At 45.2% G+C, this 23484-nt stretch overlaps 1 long non-coding RNA gene across 1 annotated transcript; it reads right to left on the minus strand.

Moving 5' to 3' along the window:
• Positions 1 to 11995: 11995 nt before the first annotated feature.
• On the minus strand, positions 11996 to 23062 carry TTTY13 (testis expressed transcript, Y-linked 13). The gene is made up of 6 exons (NR_001537.1): positions 22982 to 23062; positions 18362 to 18523; positions 17668 to 17766; positions 15897 to 16058; positions 13179 to 13270; positions 11996 to 12058 (listed from the first exon to the last, which is right to left on the minus strand). It is a non-coding gene; the product is annotated as a testis expressed transcript, Y-linked 13 (long non-coding RNA).
• Between the last annotated feature and the right edge of the window lie 422 nt (positions 23063 to 23484).

The raw sequence follows: 23484 nt of genomic DNA on the forward strand, positions 1-23484 counted from the left end.
AGTTTTTGAGACACAAGTCTGCCAATGCTCCTAGCCAAATAAAGCCACTTCCTTCTTTAACCCGGTGTCTGAATGGTATTGTCCATGGCTGCTCCTGCTACATTTTTCAGTTCCTTGACTGGAAGCAAGGTGATTAGCATAAGGTTGAGGCAGCCCATTAGGTGGCTTAGGTCTGCCCTGTGGAGCATCCTTGTGGAGGACTCCATCCAGCTTGAGTGACATGGATCCTGAGAGAGCTCCAGGGTAGGCAATAGACCCAGTGGAATGCCTCACTAGAGCAGTACACAGCAGGCTCCCACAAAGGATTGATGTAGTGGCTGTACACCAGGAAGGAACTGGTACTTGGAGTCTGGACATCTAGAACATGGTATGGCTGGTCTTGGGAACTTGGCTACTCCAAGTGGAAGCATGGCCTGATACCCACGGCATGCCTTTATTGGAACTTTGGTTTAGGTTTTGCTTTTGACTTGGATTGAGTTACTTGATTTAGTTTGAATTAGAGTGTGTGACCTTTACCCTTTCCTTCTTGCAGTGTGACTATTGTCTTTTCTTGGGAGAAAAAAGAATCAGACACGAAGTAAGTCCACCCTGCTAGGAACTATGCTGAAAAATTTCAAGAAGAGATTTAAAGGAAACTATGGAGTTACTATGACACCAGGGAAACTTAGAACTTTGTGTGAGATAGACAGGCAAGCATTAGAAGTGGGTTGGCCATCAGAAGGAAGCCTAGATAGGTCCCTTGTTTCAAAGGAATTGCACAAGATAATCTGTAAACCAGGGCACCCAGATCAGTTCCCATACATAGACACTTGGTTATAGCTGGTTTTAGACCCCCTGCACAGTGGTTAAGAGGACAGGCAGCAGCAGCAGCAGTGCTAGTGGCAATGGGACAGATAGCCAATGAAGGATCCCACTCCACCCGCCAAAGGAAGTCGGCTCCTAAAGTTCTGTCTGACCCAATATGAGAAGACTCATGGCAGGAAATGGCACCAACTATGCCCCTGGCATCCTGGAAGGGTTAAAGAAGGGAGCTCAGAAGGCCAGAAATGTTAAAAAAGTGTCTGAGGTCATTCAAGGAAAAGAAGGGAGTCCAGCACAATTTCATGAAAGACTTTGAGGCCTATTGTATGTATACACCCTTTGATCTTGAAAGCCCTGAAAATCAATGCATGATTAACACGGCTTTAGGTCATCAAAGCACAGGAGACATTATAAGAAAACTTCAGAAACAGGCTAGGTTTGAGGGCATAAACACATCCCTGTTATTGGAAATAGCCAATCAGGGTTTGTGAATAGAGATGCAGCAGGCCATAGAGAAAGCTGCAAAGAAAGCAAGCACCAAGCCAGGTGAAAGGCTGATCTCCTAGTCACAGCTATTAGAGGGGTCCACCCAAAGGGCCAAGGAAGGGGAGGCCCTGAAAAAAAAAAAACACCCAGTTTGACCAACCACACCTGCAACATAACCAGTGTGCATACTGTAAAGAAATAGGGCATTGGAAAGACAAGTGCCCCCAGTTAAAAGAGAAACAAAATGACTCTGAGCCAGAGGTCTCAAGCAAGGATGAAGTGGCCTTGTTTAATTTGGCAGAAGAGTTACTGGACTGAGGGGAACTGGGCTCAGGTGCTCCCTATGAGCCCATGGTCAGTATGAGAGTCAGGGGAAAAGACATTGAGTTTCTTGTCAATACTGGTGCAGAACATTCAGTAGTAACCACCCCGATCACCCCTTTATCCAAAAAGACTATTGATATATTCAGAGCCACAGGAGTCTCAGAAAAACAAGTTTTCTGCTTGCCCCAGACTTGTACTGTAGGGGGGCATGAATCACTATTCATTATGGCCCTTATGGTACACTGGGAGGAGGAATGGAGACTTTTCTTAACTAAGTCAGGCAAAGAGATAGGACCAGCTCTGGCTAAGTGGTAGCCCAGGGTGTGGGCAGAAGATAAACCTCTAGGACTGGCAGTCAACCAAGCCACCATACTCATAGAAGTTAATTTTGGGGGTCCAGCTGGTCAGGCAAAGACAGTGCCCAGTCCCCAGACAAGTTATTGAAGGTAGCCAGGTTCATCTCAAATGCCTCAGAGCCTTTGGAATTATAGTCCCTTGTCAGTCGCCATGGAACACTCCCCTCCTGCCTGTTCCTAAGCCAGGGACTGAGGACTACAGGCAAGTACAGGACTTGTGCTTGGTCAGTCACACTACAGTGACTTTACATCCAACAGTACCTAACCCATACACATTGTTGGGTTATTGTCAGCTGAGGACAGGTGGTTCACTTGCCTAGACCTGAAGGACACCTTATTTAGCATCAGACTATCTCCTGAGAGCCAGAAACTGTTTGCCTTCCAGTGGGAAGAAAGATCCGGGGTTAGGTGTCACCACTCAGTACACTTGAATCCTGCTTCTCCAAGGGTTTAAGCACTCACCCACCATCTTCAGGAGAGGTGCTGGCTTGAGACCTCCAAAAGTTCCCCACCAAAGACCTATGCTGCGTTTTGCTCCAGTACGTGGATGATCTTCTGCATGCTCACCCCATGGCAGTTGGGTGTGCCAGAGGGACAGAGGCCCTCCTTCAGTAGCTGCAGAAGTGTGGATATAAGGTATCAAAGAAGAAAGCTCAAATCTGAAGACAGCAGGTAAGCTACCTGGGATTGAATATCCAACAGGGGGAACACAGCTTGGGGTCAGAAAGAAAGCAAGTCATCTGCAGCCTATTGGAGCCTAAGACCAGAAGGCAAGTGAGAAAATTCTTAGGAGCTGTGGGGGTTGTGCAGACTGTGGATTGCAAACTTTGCAGTACTAGTGAAGCTTCTGTATGGGTCTAAAAAGGGGAAGACCAGGAAGCTTTTGAATGGGGGTCCCAACAAGAGCAAGCCTTTTATGAGTTAAAAGAGAAACTCATGTCAGCTCCAGCCCTGGTTCTGCCTGATCTGACAAAGCCATTTACACCATATGTGTCAGGGAGAGAAAAAATGGCAGTTGGGGTTTTGACCCAGAATGTGGGGTCCTGGCTGAGGCCAGTGGCCTACCTCTCTAAAAAACTAGACAGGGTTTCTAAAGGTTGGTCCTCTTGTTTGAGGGTATTAGCAGCAACTGCCCTGAAAGCACAAGAAGCAGATAAACTAACTCTTGGGCAAAACATGAACATAAAGGCCCCACATGCTGTGGTGACTTTACTGAATACCAAAGGATATCATTGGCTAATGAATGCTAGACTAAGCAAGTACAAAGCTTTCTCTGTGAAAATCCCCACACAATCAATGAAGTTTGTAACAACCTGAATTTTGCCACCTTGCTCCCTGTATAAGAAAGCCCTGTTGAGCATAACTGTGTAGAGGTGTTGAACTCAGCTTACTTTAGCAAGCCTGACGTGGGCATCAGTGGACTGGGAGGTATATGTGGGTGGGAGCAGCTTTGTCAACCCACAAGGAGTGAGGTATGCAGGATATGGAGTGGTAACCCTGGACACTGTCATTGAGGCCAAACTATTGCCACAGAGTACTTCAGCCCAGAAAGCCAAGATCACTGCTTTAATTTGGGTGTGAAAACTCAGTGAAGGTAAGACTAAAAACATTTACACTGACTCTTGGTATGTTTTCTCAACCCTCCAAGTACATGGAGCATTATATAAAGAAAAGGGGCTGTTAATCTCTGGAGGAAAGGACAGAAATCATCAGCAATAAATCTTGTAATTATTAGAAGCAGTATGGAAACCCCAAAATGTGTCAGTCATGCATTTCAGGGGACACCAGCAAGCTTCTACCATGGTTGCTTTAGGGAACTCCAGAGCTGACTCAGAGGCTCAAAAAGCAGCCTCCACCCCTACCAGGCATTGGTCTCAACCCCCCTGCTTCCTCAGGCACCTGACCTTGTACCTACTTGTTGTAAAGAAGAGAAAGACTTCTTTCAGGCAGGAGAGCAAACAGCAAAAGAGGGATGGATCCAGTTACCAGACAGAAGAATAGCCATGCCACAGCTGCTAGGAGGCACAATTGTACTGGCTGTGCATGAACCTACCCCTCTAGTTCAGGAATCACTTAAAAAGTTGTTAGGCTGGTACTTCTACATATCATATTTGTCAGCCCTTTCCAAAACGGTGGCATGGTGATGTATTATATGCTGACAACAAAATGTGAGGGAGGGTGGAGCAATTCTGCCCAGCATAGAAGTTTATGGAGGAGCCCCCTTTGACGATTTCCAGGTGAACTTCACAGAGATGCCAAATTGTGGAGGTAACACATATTTACTAGTTCTTGTGTGTACATACTCTGAGCTGGTAGAGGCTTATCCAACACAAACTGAAAAACCTTGTGAAGTAACATGTGTTCTTCTTTGAGATCTTATTCCTAGATTTGGACTGCCCCTACGAATTGGTTCAGATAAGTGGACAGTGTTTATGACTGACTTGGTGCAGAAGACAGCAAAGGTATTGGGGATCACGTGGAAACCACATGCAACCTACTGACCTCAGAGTTCCAGAAAGGTGGAGCGAATTAATCAAACTGTTATAAATAGCTGAGGGAAAGTGTTTCCAGAAACAGGATTGAAATGGTTACAGACTCTCCGTATGGTATTCTTTAAGATAAGATGTACTCCTTCTAAAAGAACAGGATATTCCCCTTATGAAATATTATATCATAGACCCACTCCCATATTATAGGGACTCCCAGGCACTCTTCGATAGTTAGGTGAAGTTAAGTTACAGCAACAGCTACAAGCTCTAGGAAAAATTACACAAACAATTTCAGGCTGGGAAAATGAAAGGGGTCCTATTAGTTTATTCTCCCCAGTTCACAACTTCTCCCCCAGGTGATCACATGTGGATCAAGGACTGGAATGCAGCCCCCTACATCCATGGTGTAAGGGACCCCAGACTGTCATTTTGACCACTCCCACCTGGTGAAGGTAGAAGGAATCCCATCCTGGATCCATCACCGTCGTGTAACACCTGCAGTGCCTGAGACCTGGGAGGTAAGACAAAGGCCAGACAACCACTGCAAAGTGACGCTCAGAAAGACGACAAGCCCTGCTCCAGTCACACTTTTAAGCTGATTGGTCTACACATGATTGAATCATGAGAAAACTCATCGTGGGACTTACTCTCCTTAAAATTTGGACTTGTATAATAAAGACTGATTATACAATGCTTACTGTGGATGTCTTCCACACTACACGTTTCCCAGTTCATGGAAGAGGATCCTCAAAGAATCCATTGCATGAGTGTTTCCTTCTAAACACTGTCATGTTCCCAAAATGGAGGACTGTTCCCTGTGTATTCATCATGTTACTGAGGTATGGAAACAAGTTAAAACAATCTTTCGGTTTATAGATATTTTGAATGCCTAGGAACTTTAAAAGAAAATTGCCTGTATAACTTCACTCAGATGTGCTATAACACATCTGAATCTCTTATGAACACAGTCTTTGAAATAAGATTAAGAACTCTCCCTTTTCTAAGTGTTACAAGTAAAATAATAGCTAAAACAGAAGAAAAATGAATCCCCAAACACAAAATCTTAAATTCTGATGCTTGTGTCACCATTAATATTAACCATTAATGATAAGGATGTGGCTGTCTTGACTGAGAAAAAAGTTATCCAGCAGAGAATAAGTATATTTGAGTATATTTGCCATGAGTTAGGCCAATGTGATAAAGCATGTAATTACTGGTCCTGTGTCATTTTGGCTACCTGGAAAAATAATGAAAAATATCCAGTATGGCTTCAGAAAGGAAAGGGTGATTCCTCTTGCACAAGCAGCCACAGTAACACCTTAGAACCAATAATCACCAGTCCCCTAGACCCCCCATTGGAAATAGGGAAAACATGTAACTCTTGGGATCCATGTAGCTGGACAGGATCCTTCAGTAAATATTTCAGTCAGACAAGAGGTCAAAATGTATTCTCACAAACCAGGGTTTCAGACCTTCTGTGATGAATTAAATGTGCCCATACCAGAGTTCCCAGGGAAGACAAAGAATTTTTTCCTGCAGTTAGCAGAAAATGTAGTCCATTCCCTCAATGTTTCTTCCTTTTATGTATGTGAGGGAACCACTATGGGAGACAAATGGCCTTAAGAAGCCCAAGAATTAGTGCCTACTGATCCAATTCCCGATATGATTACCATCCAGAAGACCCACACTGGCAACTTCTGGGTCTTAAGAACCTCAATTATTGGGCAGTATTGCATAGCTATAGAAGGAAACAACATCATCCTCCCTGTGGAAAGCTTCACCTGCCTTGGGCAAAACTGTATAACAGCACAGTAAAAACAGCCACATGGTGGGGTTCAAACCACAGTGATAAAAATCTGTTTCATAAATTTCCAAAGTTGCAAACCATCTGGACCCACACAGAGTCTCAGTGGGACTGGACAGCCCATGCTGGACTATGCTGGATATCTGGGCATAGACCCTACACGATGTTACCTGAACAATGGGCAGGTAGTTGTGTTATTGGCACCATTAAACCATCCTTTTTCTAACTGCCCATGAAAACACATGAAATCCTGGACTTCCAAGTCTATGCTTCCTGAGAAAAGAGGAGCATAGCTATAGGCAAATTGAAATATATTGAGTGGCTCCCTAAAAGGATCATACAATACTATGGGCCTGCCACTTGGGCACAAGATGGCTCATGGGGATACTGAAACCCCATTTACATGCTTAACCAAATCATATGGTTACAAACTGTCTTAGAAATAATCACTAATAAAACTGGCAAAGCTTTGAGTCTTTTAGCCTGGCAGGAAACCCAGATGAGAAATGCTGTCTATCAAAATAGATTAGCCCTCGACTACTTGCTAGCAGCTGAAGAAGGGGTCTGTGGAAAATTGAACCTAACCAATTGCTGTCTGCATATAGATCATCAAGAGCAAGTGGTCAAAAATATAGTCAGAGATAGGACACACCTTGCACATGTGCCATCATTTTGGCTACCTGGAAAAAGAATGAAAAATATCAATTGACATTGGTTTGATCCTGGATCAATATTTGGAAAATGGTTTCCAGTGATAGGAAAATTTAAAATTTTTATAGTAGGAAGAAAAATAGTAATAGGAACATGCTTATTTCTCCCCTGCTTGCTACTCATACTCCTTCAAATAATGCGAGCTTTGTTACTGCCATGGTCCCCCAAAATGCTTCAGCACCTGTATATTACGTGAACTACTATAGATCTGTCTTGCAGGAAGACCTAGGAAGGGAGGATGAGAGTGAGAACTCCCACTAATAAGTGAGATTCTCAGAGCGGGGAATAAGGAGGGAGACCACCTCTCTTATTGTCTCATACCTTAAAAAAAGAAAAAGGAATCAAAAACTAAAGAAAGGCAGAGATGAATTCAATTGCCAGGCAGAACATGCACGGCACTCCAGGACTGGCAGTTAAAAATCAACCCCTCACCTAACCGCTTGTATTATCTATAGATTCCAGACACTGTATGAGGAAGCATCGTGAAACTGTTTTGTTCTCTTCTATCCTGATTACCAATAGATGCAGCCTCAGCAACATACCCCATGCTTGCTCAATCAATGATGACCCCTTCACAGGGACCCTCTTAGAGTTGTAAGCCTTTAAAAAGGGTAGAAATCTCTCTGTGGGGAACTTGGTTTTTGAGACAGCTGGCTGATGCTCCCAGCCGAATAAAGTCACTTCTTTCTTTAAGCCAGTGTCTGAAGGGTTTTGTCCATGGCTTATGCTGCTACAATGGGAGTATTCCAATGTACAAGGAACATTTGGAGATTTGGATTGCCAATTGGGGCCATCCTGGCAAACCCCCATATGAGAGCTTTCATACCAGAAGCCAAATGGGAATGAGAGAGATTGATACAATATAGGATGTAACCTCCACACTTGCCTCTTCATATTCTGACTTACCTGTTCCTCATCAGCCTAGGGTTTCCTGGGTCTGGCTCAGTGTCTTCCTCACTAAACATTTCCCTCTTCATGGAAGGTGACTCTCAAAGAATCCATTGCATGAGTGTTTCCTTCTAAACAGTGTCATGTTTTAATGACTGGGCATCTGTGATAATTTTAAAACCATAAGTTCCTGTTACAGCCACCAACAAGGAGACTCTTGCTCTCCAGCTTTTACAAGAGGGCTGCATGATTCCTGTAGGTGGAGAAGTAGGCAGCCATTTCTGGCTTTTGCCTGGTAATCTAGACTCTGTTTCATTCCATCTCCATGTCCTTCCTCATTGTGGAAAGCGTCTTTCACTGGGCTTTTGCTGAGTTGGGCTGCCTCTCACCACAGATTTATTGGCCTCCAGGGATTTCAGGAAGGACAAGGGACTTTGGGTAGGCTGGCTGCAACCCAGGTTGTGGGTATTGGTCTCCTTATGGGGGCTGAGGTTGTTTGCACTTTGCAGGAGGCTTTTGGGTTCTCTGACAGAAATCATTGAACATTGCTAGGACTCCAGAACAAGGCAGCTTGTTTCACTCCTTTCTCTGTGGGAAAGAGAGTTGCTGGGATGCCAGATGAGTTCTTCTCCCCTGTGTGAGACACCCATGGGAGCCATGGGTGGCCTCTGAGGAGAAAAGTCTCCTTATTGCCTTCATGTCTTTATGCTCAAGAGCATAACAGCTCAGCGGCATGCTACAGGTTGCTCAGGGAAATAACACTCCCTTGAAGCAGTGGTGTATAATCAAACATCTTGTCTTCTACTGAAACTCACTCCCACCCATTTCAGTCCTGATAAGTCATTTGTATTATTTCTGTTATTATTTTTTTGTGATGGAGTCTCTCTCTGTCACCCAGGCTGGAGTGCAGTGGTGTGATCTTGGCTCACCACAAGCTCCACTTCCCATGTTCACACCATTCTCCTGCCTCAGCATCCCGAGTAGCTGGGACTACAGGCACCCACCACTGCACCTGGCTAATTTTTTGTATTTTTATCAGAGACAGGTTTTCACCGTGGTCTTGATCTCCTGATCTCATGATCTGCCCACCTCTGCTTCCCAAAGTGCTGGGATTACAGGCGTGAGCCACTGTTCCTGGCTGTTAAAAATCTTACATAGTTTAGACACATGCCTTTGCAAGAGGAAATTCACAGAAACCACCACTGCTATACATCTTATTGAATGACTCACGAGTTCTGCTTCACTGATTAATCATTTTCCTCATCCCTTCCTACCTCTCCCATCTGACCTAAGAACAAAGAGCTTGTAAACCAATAAATTGGGTGGAGGTTGAGAGCTCGGGTCCGTGAGCAAGCCTCCAATTCTCTGGTCCCCTGGACCTGCTTTTTAAACTCTCAATCTTCCTCTTTCTAATTCCATTGTCTCTGCTGGACACAGGGTACCTGCCCAGTGGTGTGGGGCTTGTTTCCTCAACATCTGGTGCCCAACACAGTGCTCCCTATATCTCTACAAATCATCCAGTGAGGGAACACCAGAGCGTAGAAAGTGCAGGATGACTGACAAAGGATGTCCGAGTACCTTTTCCCTTCACGCTCTACAGGTAAGTGGGGCACTCAGAGAATTCCAGGGCAACCTCAGGAAAATATGGGTCAGGCTGGAAACAAGTTTGTTAATTACTTAAGCCTGGTGCAGCAGTTATTGAGCCATAGAGGAGTAATTATGAGTACCAAAAATCTCATATCTTTTTTCCATCTCATAGAAAAGTATTCTCCTTGGTTCCTGGAATACAGAACCATGAATGTAAAAGACTGGGACAAGATCGGACCAGACTTAAAAGGAGCACAACAAGAGGGCCACGATAGTCCCTTCTCCACTTGGTCTGTGTGGTCAGCAATTAAAACAGCACTGGAGCCCTTCCACACTGAGAAGGAGGAGGAGAAGTTTCAGGGTGACATAAAAAAGTTTAATAATCAGGAGTCTGATAATCAGCACAGTCAACCATCACAGTCTAGTTTAAAAAAGGGGGAGAAATGGGAAGGTGTACATACTAACCTCCAAAAACTTATGAAAGAAACAGTTCCCCCTACTGCGCCTTTAGAGGAAGGTGCAGAACAGCCACCTCCACCTCAGCCTTATGAATTTTTGGAAAGGGAGACTGAGACATGGCTTGCCACTCCCATTGTTTCACGGCCTACCATTGACTATGGTAAAGGGAAGCTTCAACAGCCCAACAGCCAATTACGGTGAGGGAATGATCCAGGCTTGTCCACCTGTTAATTATGGGAGAGAAATGCTGTGAGCCAGTCCAAATACAAATTATGGTGCAGGGGCAATTCAGGCATCCATTTGACAGGCACAAGAAATGGGGGATTTGGATGCTTGGCAGTTTCTGGTAATTATTTCTCCAGCTGAGGAGCCCAGAGAACATGCTCGGGCCTGCTGGGAGCCATTTCCTTTTAAAATATTAAAAAGACTTTAAGCAAGCAATTGGACAATATGGGCCAAATTTTTCTTAGGTTCATTCTTCATTATAATTTGTGGCTTATAACAGGCCCTTAATACCTATGGATTGGGAGTCATTAGCTCGATCCACCCTGTCTCCCTCTCAATTTCTCCAATTTAAAACCTGGTGGACAGATGAAGCAACAAGTCAGGCAGGGAGAAATGCTCAGGCCCAACCTCCTATTAATATCACATCTGATCAATTGCTTGGAATTGGGCAGGCATGGGGTACTGTAAATCAACAGATGGTAATGGGTGATGAGTCTGTTGATCAGCTCAGAACTATACACTGAAGATACCAGAAAAAAAATTCATGACCCTGTTACTATTTATCCTTCTTTTAACTCAGTTTGACAGGGTCCAAGGAAGATTTATCCAGATTTTATCACCCCATTTGCAAGAAGCTGCTCAAAAGACTATTTCAAATTCTTGTGCCAGGAAAGTGATCATTCAGCTGCTTGCTTATGAAACTATGAATACAGAATGTCAGGGAGAAATTAGATCTATTAAGGTAAAGGCAGATCTAAATGAGGAAAAAACTGTAAGTGAATATATTACAGCCTGTGATGGCATTGAGGAGCCCTTATATAAGGCCAACCTCCTTTCTCAGGCAATGGCTGGACTAAGGGTAACAAAAAACACATGAGTGTTCCCTGGATCTTGATATAATTGGGGACAGATAGGACATGCAAAAAGAGAGTGTACAAAGAGCCAAAAAAGGCAAAACTCAGGACCAGGCCCTGATTCAAAACAGGGCATTCCCAATTCAGGGTGGGTCATCCCTGACCCCAAACAGAGTATTCCCAGCCCAGTCTATCCCTGCACAAATGCAGAGCAATTGTCCCCCTCCACAGATAAAAGTGGGGCAGTAAATACATGCTGTACTGAACCTGTATCCCTCCTTCCTGGGGAGACTCCCAGGAAGATCCCAACGGGAGTTTACGGCCCATTGCCAAAGGACATGGTGGGACTTATACTTGGAAGGTCCAGCTTAAAATTAAAGGGAATTCAAGTACATACTGGGGTAGTGGGCTCTGATTGCCAGGGAGAAATTCAAATTGTTATCTCCTCCACTGTTCCCTGGAGTGCTAATCCAGGTGACAGAATAGCTCAACTGTTGTTTTTACCATATGTTAAGATAGGAGAAAGCTCAGAATAAAAGGAGGATATAGAAGCACAAATTCAGCAGGCAAGCCTGCCTATTGGGTAAATCAAGTCTCTGACAATAGTCCTATTTGTAGGTCACTATTAAAGGAAAACAATTTGAGGCTCTTGTCGACACAGGAGCAGATGTGTCAATCACAGCGTTTATCAATGGCCCAAAAACTGGCCCAAACAAAAGGCCCCAGTGGGTCTTGTTGGGATTGAGGATTTGCTTGTATCTCACCAGGAGAGAATCAACTTCTTGTCTGGGTACCCACAAGACATCTTAAGCTGTGCCAGGAGCCAGAATTCAAGGAAGAGGAAAAGACCTCAGAAAGTCCCTACACCCCCAGTTCATCAGATGGCTCAGATGAACATCTCTGTTGAGCAGATGGAAACCAGTAAAACTTACCAAGCAACTCCACCGACCTGGGGGCGGATGAAGAGACTAGCTCGCACTGAAGAAGAGAACCTGCGGTCTCAGCACAAGCTGCTGACCACCAGTAATCTAATGGTAGCTACGATGGTGGTAATCCCCTTGGTGGTGAGTCTCCCTGCAGAGGGGCAGATCAAAATTACACTTACTGGACCTACATTGCATTCCCACCACTGATTAGGCCTGTTATAAGTTTAGATGCCCCAGTGGAGGTTATGTTAATGATAGTGTCTGGATGCCTGGACCAATAGATAACCAAGGTCCTACTCATCCAGAGGAGGAAGGAATGTTAATGAAAGTTTCCATTGGTTATCACTTTCCTCCCATCTGCCTGGGGCCAGCAGCAGGATGTTTAAATTATGATAAACAACGTTGGATGGTTTATGTCCCTGAACATAATGGATGAAAGGCCTCTATTCATGTAATCAGTGGAAGAACATTTCAATCTTTGGACACTATTAAATACCTTGAGCATGGCTATGTTATGACACATCATCAGATTAATAAACTTAAACCTTCTTATTGAAGTCCTGCCCCAGGCAGGCCACTAAATGAAAATCTAGAGGTGCTAACCTGGGAAGATTGTATTGCAAACAGCGCTGCAGTATTGCAAAATAATTCCATTGGAATCATCACTGATTGGGTCTCTAGAGGTCACTTTGCCATAAATTGTACCGGACACAGCAAAGATTTTGGAGAGACTCCTTTGCAAAAGACTTCCCAGATAACGCACTAAAATTATATAGAAGAATTGAAACAAACTGCCCTATTAAGTGGGAGGAGAATGGTATGGCTCCTCCAAGGCCAAAAATGATTGATCCAATTACAAGACCAGAACATCCAGAATTGTGGAAATTAATGATGGCTCAAACCCCAGTTGGGATTTGGAAAGGAGAATATAAAACAGAGACTCATAGTGAAAATCTTTGATTTGTTGTAGCCATGATCTCTAATCAGACAGTCCCATTGCAGAGTTGTGTTAAACCTCCTTTTATGTTAGCAGCAGGAAAAGTTAATATCCTACTTGACTCTCAAACCATATCATGCCTCAGCTGTCATATTTTTACCTGCATTAATTCTACCTTTAATAAAGATAACAGCACTTTACTGGTTAGGGCCTGAGAAGGAGTTTGGATACCTGTTTCCCTCAATAGACCTTGGGACGCCTCTTCCTCCATATATATTATCACTGCAGTACTAAAAGAAATACTTAATAGATCAAAGAGATTCATATTTACCTTAATAGCTGTCATCACGGGCCTCATAGCGGTCACAGCTATAGCTGCTGCTGCTGTTGTAGCTTTGGATTCTTCTATTCAAACTGTGAGCTCTGTGGATAGTTGACAGAAAAATTTTTCCAAGCTTTGGAATTCCCAAAGCCAAATAGATCAAAAATTGGCAAATCAAATTAATGATCTTCATCAAACAGTAATTTGAATGGGTGGTCAGATTATGAGCTTGGAGCAGAGAATTTAAATGCAAAGTGATTGGAATACTTCTGATTTTTGTTTCCTCCTAGCTCTTATAATACCACTGAACACCACTGGGAGTTGATTAGACATCGCCTACCAGGAGAAGATAATTTAACATTAGATCCTGCTAAACGGAAAAAACAACTTTTTGCAGCATCTCAGGCTCATCCCAGCTTGTTGCCTGGAGCTGATATTCTTGCTGGAGCCACTGATGGCCTTTTTAACAATAATCCTTTAAAGTGAATTAAAACCATAGGTGGATCATCAACTGCAAATATTATTTTGGTTTGTGTCTGTTTCTGCTTTTTTTTTTTTTTTTTTTTTTTTTTTTTAGTCTACAGTTGCGGACAGCACCTTGGGAGAGAAGACAGACACCGTGAATGAGCTATGATAGCAATGGTGGTTATTAATTTAAAAAAAATGGGGACAAAAAAGTGGGACATATGGAAAAGAGAGTTTCTGGGATGCCAGATGAGTTGGTCTGCCCTGTGTGAGACTCCCATGGGGAGCCATGGATGGCGTCTGAGGAGAAAAGTCTCCTTACTGCCTTCATGCCCTTATGCCTGGAGAGCATAACAGCTCAGCGGCATGCCGCAGCTTGCTCAGGGAAATAACACTCCCTTGAAGCAGTGGAGTCTAATCAAATGTCTTGGCTTCTCCTGAAACCTAGTCCCACCCATTTCAGTCCCGATAAGTTAAATACATTAAGTAGTTTAGACACACACCTTTGCCCAAGGAAATTCACAGAAACCGCCACTGCTATACATCCTATTGAATGACTCACGAGTTCTCCTTCACTGATTAATCCTTCCCCTCATCCCTTTCTACTCCTCCTATCTGCCCTATGAACAAAAAGCTTGAAAACCAATAAATTGGGTGGTGGCTGAGAGCTCCAGGCCATGAACAAGACTCCAATTCTCTGGTCCCCTGGACCTGCCTTTTAAACTCTCATTCTGTCTTTTTCTAATTCCTTTGTCTTCGCTGGACTCGGGGCACCTGCTGGGCAGTGTGGGGCTGGTTTCCCAACAATTCTGTCAAGTGATTTTTTTCTCTCTGGGTATAAGGAATTGCCACAGACAGCCTCTGAGACACTGTCTCAACCTCATCGGCACCCATGAGAGGCCAGTTCAAAGTGTGAGAACATGTCTCCAACGTGGACTTGCCTTTCTTGTGGTTCTTGCTTATCTGAGAGAGCCCCTGTGAGGCCCAGGATGAAGGGAGGCAGTGAGATTAACGGCCTGGCCATCTTTTGCTGACAGCTGCCTCTGGGGTCTTAGATATGATTCTATCATCCAAAGAACACTGAACAACACAACAGACTATATCCTGATCCCCGTGGGATCTGATCCTTGCACACACATTCTCTTTCAGGAATAGAGTCAGAAGAGCTGTTTCCAGCCACTACCTAACAGTATTGAAATGTGTACTCCTCCAGCGGGACGAGACCATGGAGGCTGCCCATGGGTCCCTAAGGTCGAGATGTTTAGGGTCTCACAGTGGGTTTTCACAGGTAGCCATTTTCCCGATATGAGGCCAGCTTTGCCTGTGCATTTTCTTCTGCCTAGGCAGGCTGACATCTCTGACAGCTGGGTGCTTGAACCTGCCCCAAGAATGTGCATGTGCTAGTTTCAGGGCACCAGGCCTGATGGTGAGTTCTGGCTAGCCTTATAATGTCACTGTTGCCTAGCAACAAGTTCCTGCGGCTTGGCAGAGAAAGAGACCTGCTCGGAGGTGCATTGGCGGTGGACTCTCCCCTGTCTTTTCTGTGGGATCCACAGGATAGTCCCATGATCCTATGAGAAGGCAGATGTGAGCCAGCCTTGAAGAAATATCAACCATGATCAGAGGGCTTATGGGAGTCAGCCTGAAGAAACATCAACCACAGCCCCACAAATAAACTGCAAAATCTCTAAGGATCCAAAAGGATCTGCAGAATTCCTCAGGCCACCCTAGAGGTTGTATGGGTTTTGAAACTTACGCCAATGTGATTTCTAGGTACAGCCTGCCTGTGTTCCCTGGGGTTGCTGTCTCTCAGGTGGGGCCTCCTGCAGAACCATGCAACCTCGGGATCTGCCATGCTGTGTGTTTCCGTGGGTGTGTTGCGAGTGTTTGACGTCGAGTGTGTGTGGCATTTTGTGTGTGTGTGTGTGCCTGTAAGTGGGGTCTGCTTAAAGGAATAGGGCTAACACACTTCAGTGCTTCTTGTTTTTAGCCTCACTAACTTTTGGTGGCCTGTGTGTGTGGCTATGCTTGGGCTGCATGGTTCCGTGTTATTTTTCTGTAGATCCTGAATCCCCAGTGAATTTGGAGGTGGGCCAAGACCTGCTAGCATCCAAAATCAACTCCCCCTGCAGAAAAAAACCACTCTTCTAGAAGACGAGCACACCACACCAAAAACCAGGTATCTCTCAGTGTTTCCTTCATCTTGAGGACAACGCAGGGAGAGACACTAGCAGATCTGTCTGCAAGGCCACTTGGATTAACCTCGAATTTGGTTCCCAGCTGCGCACATGCTTCACATCATGAGGGATGCACTTCTCCATCTTCTTGGGATTTTATCCTGGAACATAGAGTCTGAGCAGCAATAAGGTCACATGGGGTGAGGATACAATCTGCTGAATGGAGAATGGGTTCCAGCAACTTCACCTGCAAATAAATAAATAAATAAATAAAGACAGATGACACAAAAGGTGCTTCTAACTCCATCCCAACATTCCCTTAATTTCAAAAGCAGTCCACACTATGGCCCAGAATTCAGGTGGGAGTATTTCAACGTGCAAAGAATATTTGGAGTGCAAATTGGGGCCATTCTGGCAAACTCCCAATGTGAGAACTTTCATACCCAGAGCCAAATGGGAGTGGAATGGATTGGTGCTGGGTAGGATGTGGCCTCTACACTTGCCTCTTCTTTTTCTGACTTCCATGTTTCTCTCCAGCCTAGGGTTTCCTGTGTCTGGCTCAATGACTTCCGCACTAAATGTTTCTCAGTTCATGAGAATGACCCTCATGGGAATCCATAGCATGAACGTTTTCTTCTAAAAATTCTCAATTTTTATTGACTGGGCAGCTCTGGTACTTTAACAACCATTAATTCCTGTTACAGCAGCAAACAAGGAAACACCTATTCTCCCACTTCTGTCGGAATGCTGCAAGATTCCTGTAGGATGAGAAGCTTGCAGCTGTGTCTGGCTTTTGCCTGGTAAACTAGCCTCTGTTTCATTTCATCTGCATAGCCTTCTCATAGTGGAGGGGCTCTTGCATTGCTCTGTTGCTGGATAGGAATGCCTCTTCCCACCAATTATTTAGCTGCCAGAGATATCAGAGAGCAGAAGGGACTTTGGGTCACATGGCTGCACTCCAGATTGTGGATTGTTGTATGTTGTGGGAGCTGAAGTTGTTTGCACTTTGCAGGAGTCTTTGGGGTCCTCAGACAGGAATCATTGAACATTGCTTGGACTCTGGCAAAAGGCATCTCGTTGTTTCAGGTGAGCTTTGATTTTTCTTTGCTTTCATGGAGAATTCACAGTGCTCCTCAACAGCACTACTGGACACCATTTTTAGGCTTGCCGTCACCACAGACAGCCTCTGAGATGGTGTCACATCCTCATATGCACCCATGAGGGGCAAGTTCGAGGTATGAGAACAGTGTTGATCTTATACTTGCCTTGTCTTGCTTCCTGCCTTTCCCAGAGAGCCTATGCAAGGCCCCAGATGAAGGGAGGCAGAGAGGTCAAGAGCCTGGTCATCTTTTGCTGACACCCACCTCTGGGATCTCAGATCTGCTGCTATCACCCAAAAAACCCCTCCAGAACACACCAGACTTATATCAATCCCTATGGGACCCAATTCTTTCACACAGCCTCCTTTGGGAACGGACTCAGAAGAGCAGTTTCCATGACCACTTCATGGTCTTGAAATGCCTCCTCCTCCAGTGGAACACAACCATGGAGATGGCTTGAATAACCCCCAAAGTTGAGACTTTTAGGGTCCTGCAATGGGTTTCACAGGCAGCTTATTTCCTGATACCAGACTGACTCTGCCTCTGCCATTTTCCTCTGCTTAGGCAGGCTGACGGGTCTGAGAGCCAACGCCCAAGCCTGCCTCATTAATGTGCATGCACTAGTCTCAGGGCACCAGGCCTTATTGTGAGCTCTGGCTAGCTTCACAATGAATGCCACCTTTGCCTAGCGACAAGTCCCTGCAGCTTGGCAGATAAAGAGACCTCCGTGGAGGTGTGTCAGCAGTGGACTCTCACCTGTCTTCTCTGTTGGATCCATGGGATAGTCCCGTGATCCCAGGAGAGGGCAGACATGAGCCAGCCAGAAGTAACATCAAACAGAGCCCTAGGAATAAACTGTGAAATCCATGAGAATACAAAACAATCTGCAGAATTCCTCAAACCTGTTTAGACTTTGTAGGGTTGAGTCTTTTTGAAATTGCTCTACTGTGATATCCAGGTATACTGGCTGTGTTCCCTGAGGTTGCTCTTTCCCAAATGCGGCTTCCTGCAGAACCACACAGCCTCAGGAGCTGCCAGCCTGTGTGTTTCTGTGAAAGTATTGAGAGTGTTGGATGTCTGCGTGTGTGTGTGTCTGTGTGTGTGCATGTTAGAATATAAGTGGAGTATTCTTAAAGGAATGTGGCTAACACATTTTAGCACTTCTTTTTTTTGAGTCTCCCAACTTTTTGGTGGCCTGTCTGTACAGCACTGCTTGGGCTGTGGGGCTCCATGTTCTTTAGTTTTCTGTGGATCATAAATCCCCAGTGAATTGGGAGGCAGGCTGAGACCCACCAGTGTCAAACTCATCTCCCACTCCAAAAGAAAGCCACTCTTAGAAAAAAGGGGAGCACACCACATGAAAAAACAGTCATCTCTGAGTGTTTCATTGTCCTGCAAACAATGCAGGGAGATACACTAGCAGTCCTGTCCATAGGGCCCTTGAATTTACCTCAAATTCAGGTCCCAGCCAAGCAGTTGGTTCACATCATAAGGGGGCAATACTCCATCGTCTTGGGTTTTCATTTTGGGACATAGAGTGTGAGCAACAATAAGGTCAGACAGGGGTGAGGATACAATCTGGTGGGAATTGGATGAGATCCCACAACTTCAACTGCAAAAAAATAAAGACAGATGACACAGAAGGTACTTCCAACTCCATCCCAACATTCCCTTAATTGCACAAGCAGTCCACACCATGGCCCAGTGTTCAGGTGAAAGTATTCCAATGTGCAAGAAATATTTGGGGAGCAAACTGGGGTCATCCTGGCAAACTCTCAATTTGCAGGCTTTCATACTGGGAGCAAAATGGGAATGAAATGGTTTGATGGTAGATGGGAAGTGGCCTCCACACTTGCCCCTTCTTTCTCTGATGTCCATGTTTCTTGTCAGTGTAGGGTTTCCTATGTCTGGCTCAATGACTTCCACAATACATGTTTCTCAGTTCACAGAGAATGACCCTAATGGGAACCCATTGCATGAGTGTTTCCTTCTAAACACTTTCACAATTTAATGACTGGGCAGCTTTGATACTTTTAAAACCATAAATAGCCACCAACAAGGAAACTCTTGTTTTTTTTCACTTCTATTGGCATTCTGCATGATTCCTGTAGGGTGAGAAGCAGTCAGCCCTGTCTGGCTTTTGCCTGGTAGTCTAGCCTCTGATTTTTTTCATCTGCATGGTCATCTTATTGAGCAGGTATTCTTTCATTGGGCTGTGGCTGGATGGGACTGCCTCTCACCAAAGATTATTTTGCTTCCCAGGATTTCAAAGAGCAAAAGGGACTTTGAGGAGTCTGGCTGCACTCCAAGTTTCGATCTGTTGTCTCAGGTGGGGGCTGAAGTTGTTTGCAATTTGCAGGAGGCTTTTGGGTTCTCTGACAAGAAGCATTGAACATTGCTTAAACTCCAGCTCAGTGCAGCTCATTCTGTCAGGTGAGCATTGATTTTTCTTTGCTTTTATGGGAAATCCACAGTGTCCTTCAACAGCTCTACTGGACATCATTTTCAGGCTTGCCATCATCAAAGATGACCTCTGAGACATGGTCTCTACCTCATCTTCACCCATAAGAGGTCAGTCCAAGGTGTGAGAATATGGTTCAAACTTTGACTTGCCTTTTTCATGGTTCCTGCCTTTCTCAGAGAGCCCCTGCTAGGCATAGGATGATGGAGGTAGTGAGGTCAAGAGCCCAGACATCTTTGCTAAAAAATGCCTCTGGGGTCTCAGGTATGATGCTATGACCCAAAGAACCATCAACAACACACCAGACAGACTATATGCCAATCACCATGGGACCCGATTCTTGCAGACACACATTCTCTTTTGGGAATGGATTTCAAAGGGCAGTTTTCAGTGACCACCTCAGAGTCTTGAAACACCTCATCCTCCATCAGGACACAACCACAGAGATGGTCCAAATGAGCCCTGAGGTCGAGGCTTTTATTGTCCTGCCATGGGTCTTCACAGGCAGCCTTTTTCTTGATACCAGGCCAGCTCCGACTGTACCATTTTCCTCTGCTTAGGCAGGCTGAATGCTGTTACAGCAGGACACATAAGCCTGTCTCAGGAATCCACATAAGCTAGTCTCAGGGCACCAGTCCTGAGTGTGAACTCTGTCTAGAGTCACAGTGAATGTCACTGTTGCCTAGCGACAAGTCCCCGCGGCTTTGTGGAGAAGACTCCCAAGGAGGAGACCTCCATGGAGGTTCGTCGGCTGAGGTCTCTCACCTGTCTACTCTGTGAGATCCACAGGATAGTCCCATAATCCTAGGATAGGGAGGATGTGAGCCAGCCTGAAGAAACATCAAGAAGAGCCCCAGGAATAAGCTGCCAAATCCCTAAGGATCAAAAAACATCTGCATGCTGTCTAGATGTTGGAAGGGTGTCTTTTTGGAACTTGTCTTAACTGTGATTTTTAGGTACAGCCCATCTCTTTTCCTTGGAGTTACTTTGTCTCAGATGGGGCTTCCTGCATAATCCTGCAGCCTGAGGAGCTGACAGGCTATGTGTTTTTGTGGGAGTGTTGCAAATGTTGGATGTCTGCCTGTGTGTGTGTTATTGTGTGTTTGTGTATCTGTGTGTGTGTGTGCCGTTAAGTGGAGTCTGCTTAAAGGAATGTGGCTAAAGCACTTCAGTGTTTTTTTATTTTTTTAGTATATTAACCTTTTGGTGGCCTGTCTCTGTGGCTCTTTTGGGCTGTCAGGCTTGTGTTATTTATTTTTCTGTGAATCATGAATCCTCAGTGATTTTGGAGGCGGGCCAAGCCTGCCGGCAACCAAGGTATCTCCCCGTACAATAAAAGCCACTCTTCTAGAAAGAAGAGGAGCACACCATACCAAAAAAACAGACATTTCCCGATGTTTCATTTTCCTGCAGCCAACCCAGGTAGAGAAACTAGCAGTCTAGTCCTCAGGGCCCCTATATTTACGTCAAATTCAGTTCCCAGCTGATCAGGCGCTATACATTGTGAGGGGACACTCCTCCCTCGTTTTGGGATTTCATCCTGGGACATAGAATATGAGCAGAAATAAGGTCAGATAAAGGTGAGGATATAATCTGGTGACAAGGGGAAGGGGTCCCGCAACTTCACCTGCAAAAAGATAAAGACAGATGACACAGAAGGTGTTTCCAATTCTATGCCCGCATTCCCTTAATTGCACAAGCAGTCCACAACATAGCCAGGAGTTCAGGTGGCAGAACTCCTACGTGCAAGGAACATGTGGAGTGCAAATTGACACCATCCTGGCAAACTCCTGATTTAAGGGCTTTCATACCTAGAGCCAAATGGCAGTGGAATGGATTGATGCTGGGTGGGATGTGGCCTCCATACTTCCCCCTTCTTTTCCTGACTTCCATGTTCCTGGTCAGCCTAGGGTTTCCTGGGTCTGGCTAAATGACTTCCACACTAAACGTTTGCCTGTTGCTGGTGAATGACCCTCAGTGGAATCCACTGCATGAGCGTTTTCTTCCAAACACTGTCACGTTTTAATGACTGGACAGTTTTGATACTTTAAAACAATAAATTCCCATTTCAGCCACCAACAAGGAAACTCTTATTCTACCACTTCTATCAGAGGCCTGCATGATTCCTGTAGGAGGAGAAGAAGGCAGCTGTGTGTACATTTTACCGGGCAATCGAGGCTCTGTTTCATTAAATCTGCATGGCTCTCTCACTGTGGAGGGGCTCATTCATTGAGCTGTTGCTGGATGGGACTGCCTCTCACTACAGATTGTATAGCTTATCAGGGTTTCAGAGAGCAAAAGGGACTTCGAATAGGCTTACTGTGCTCCACATTTTGGTCTATGGTCACATTTTGGGGGCTGAAGTTGCTTGAACTTTACAGTAGGATTTTGGGTCCCCTGACAGAAATCACTGAACATTGCTTGGACTCCAGCACAAGGCAGCTCGTTTCCTCAGGCAAGCCTTGTTTTTTTCTTGCTTTCATGGAAAACCCACAATGCCCCTTAACAGCACTGCTGGACACAATTTTCAGGCTTACTATCACCACAGATGGCCTCTGAGACACTGTGTCAACATCATCTGCACCAAGAAGAGACCAGTCTGAGGTGTGAGACAACTGCTCCACCTTGGGCTTTCCTCGGTCATGGTTCCTGACTTTTCCAGAGGGCCCCTGTGAGGCCTAGGGTGAAGGGAGGCCATGAGGTCAAGCTCGGGCATCTCTCACTGATGCTCACCTCTGGGCTTTCAGGTATAATTCTATCACCCAAAGAACCCCAACAACACAACAGATTCTATTCCAATCTCCATGGGACCTAATTCTTATGCACAGCCTCTTTCAGGAATAGAGCCAGAAGAGTAGTTTCCAGCGACCACCTCACAGTCCTGAAGTGCCTCCTCCTCCAGTGGGACCCAACTATGGAGATGACCCAAAGGGGCCCTGAGGTTGAGACTTTTAGAGTCTCACAGTGGGTTTTCATAGGCATCATTTTTCCTGATACCAAGGCGTCTCTGCCTGTATCATTTTCCTCTGCTTAGTCAGGCTGAGAGCTCTGACATCTGGGCACCAGAGCCTGCCTCACGAATGTTCATGAGCTAAGCTCAGGGAACCATTCCTGATTTTGGACTCCAGAGGAGACCTCTGTGGAGGTGCGTTGGTGGTGCACTCTTTGCCTGTCTTCTCTGTGGGATCCACAGAATAATCTCATGATCCTATGAGATGGCAGATGTGAGCGAGCCTGAAGAAATGTCAAGCAGAGCCCTAGGAATAAACTGCAAAATCCCTAAGGATCCAAAAGCATCTGCAGGATTCCTCAGGCCTGTCTAGATGTTTTAGGGGTGAGTCTTTTTGAAACTTGCCCCTCTGATATTTTTAGGTAAAACCCACCTGTGTTCCCTGGGATTGCTCTCTCCCAGGTAGGGCTTCCTGCAGAAACATGCAGCCTCAGAAGCTGTCAGGTTCTGTGTTCCTTTGGGAGTGTTGTGAGTGTAGGATTTCTGTGTGTGTGTGTGTGTGTGTGGCATTGTGTGTTTGTGTCTGTGTGCCTGCAAATGGAGTCTGCTTAAAAGAGTGTGGCTAACACACTTCAATCCTCTTTATTTGAGTCCCTCACCTTTTATTTTGGTTGCTTGTCTGTTTGGCTCTGCTTGGGCTCTGGGGCTCCATGTTTTTTTATTTTTCTGTGGATCATGAATACGCAGTGTCTAAATCACCTTCCCCTGCAAAAAAACAAAACAAAACACTCTTCTAGAAAGAAGAGGAACACACCACACCAACACACCAAAAAACAGACATCTCCCAGTGTCTCATTGTCCTACGGTCAACCCAGCAAGGGACACTAGCAGTCCTGTCCTCAGGACCAATTGAATTTACCTTGAATTCGGTTTCTAGCTGAGCAGGTACTTCAGGTTAAAGGGGCACTCCTCAATTGTCTTGGGATTTCATCCTGGGACATAGAGTGTGAGCAGAAATAAGGTCAGATAGGGATGAGAATACAATCTGGTGAGGAGTGGATGGGTCCTGCAATTTCAACTGCAAAAAAAATATGAAGACAGATGACACAGAAGGTGCTTCCAACCCCATCCCCCTATTCTGTTAATTGCACAAGCAGTCCAA

This window comes from Homo sapiens, chromosome Y, assembly GCF_000001405.40.
Source record: "Homo sapiens chromosome Y, GRCh38.p14 Primary Assembly".
NCBI classification, from domain to species: Eukaryota; Metazoa; Chordata; class Mammalia; order Primates; family Hominidae; genus Homo; species Homo sapiens.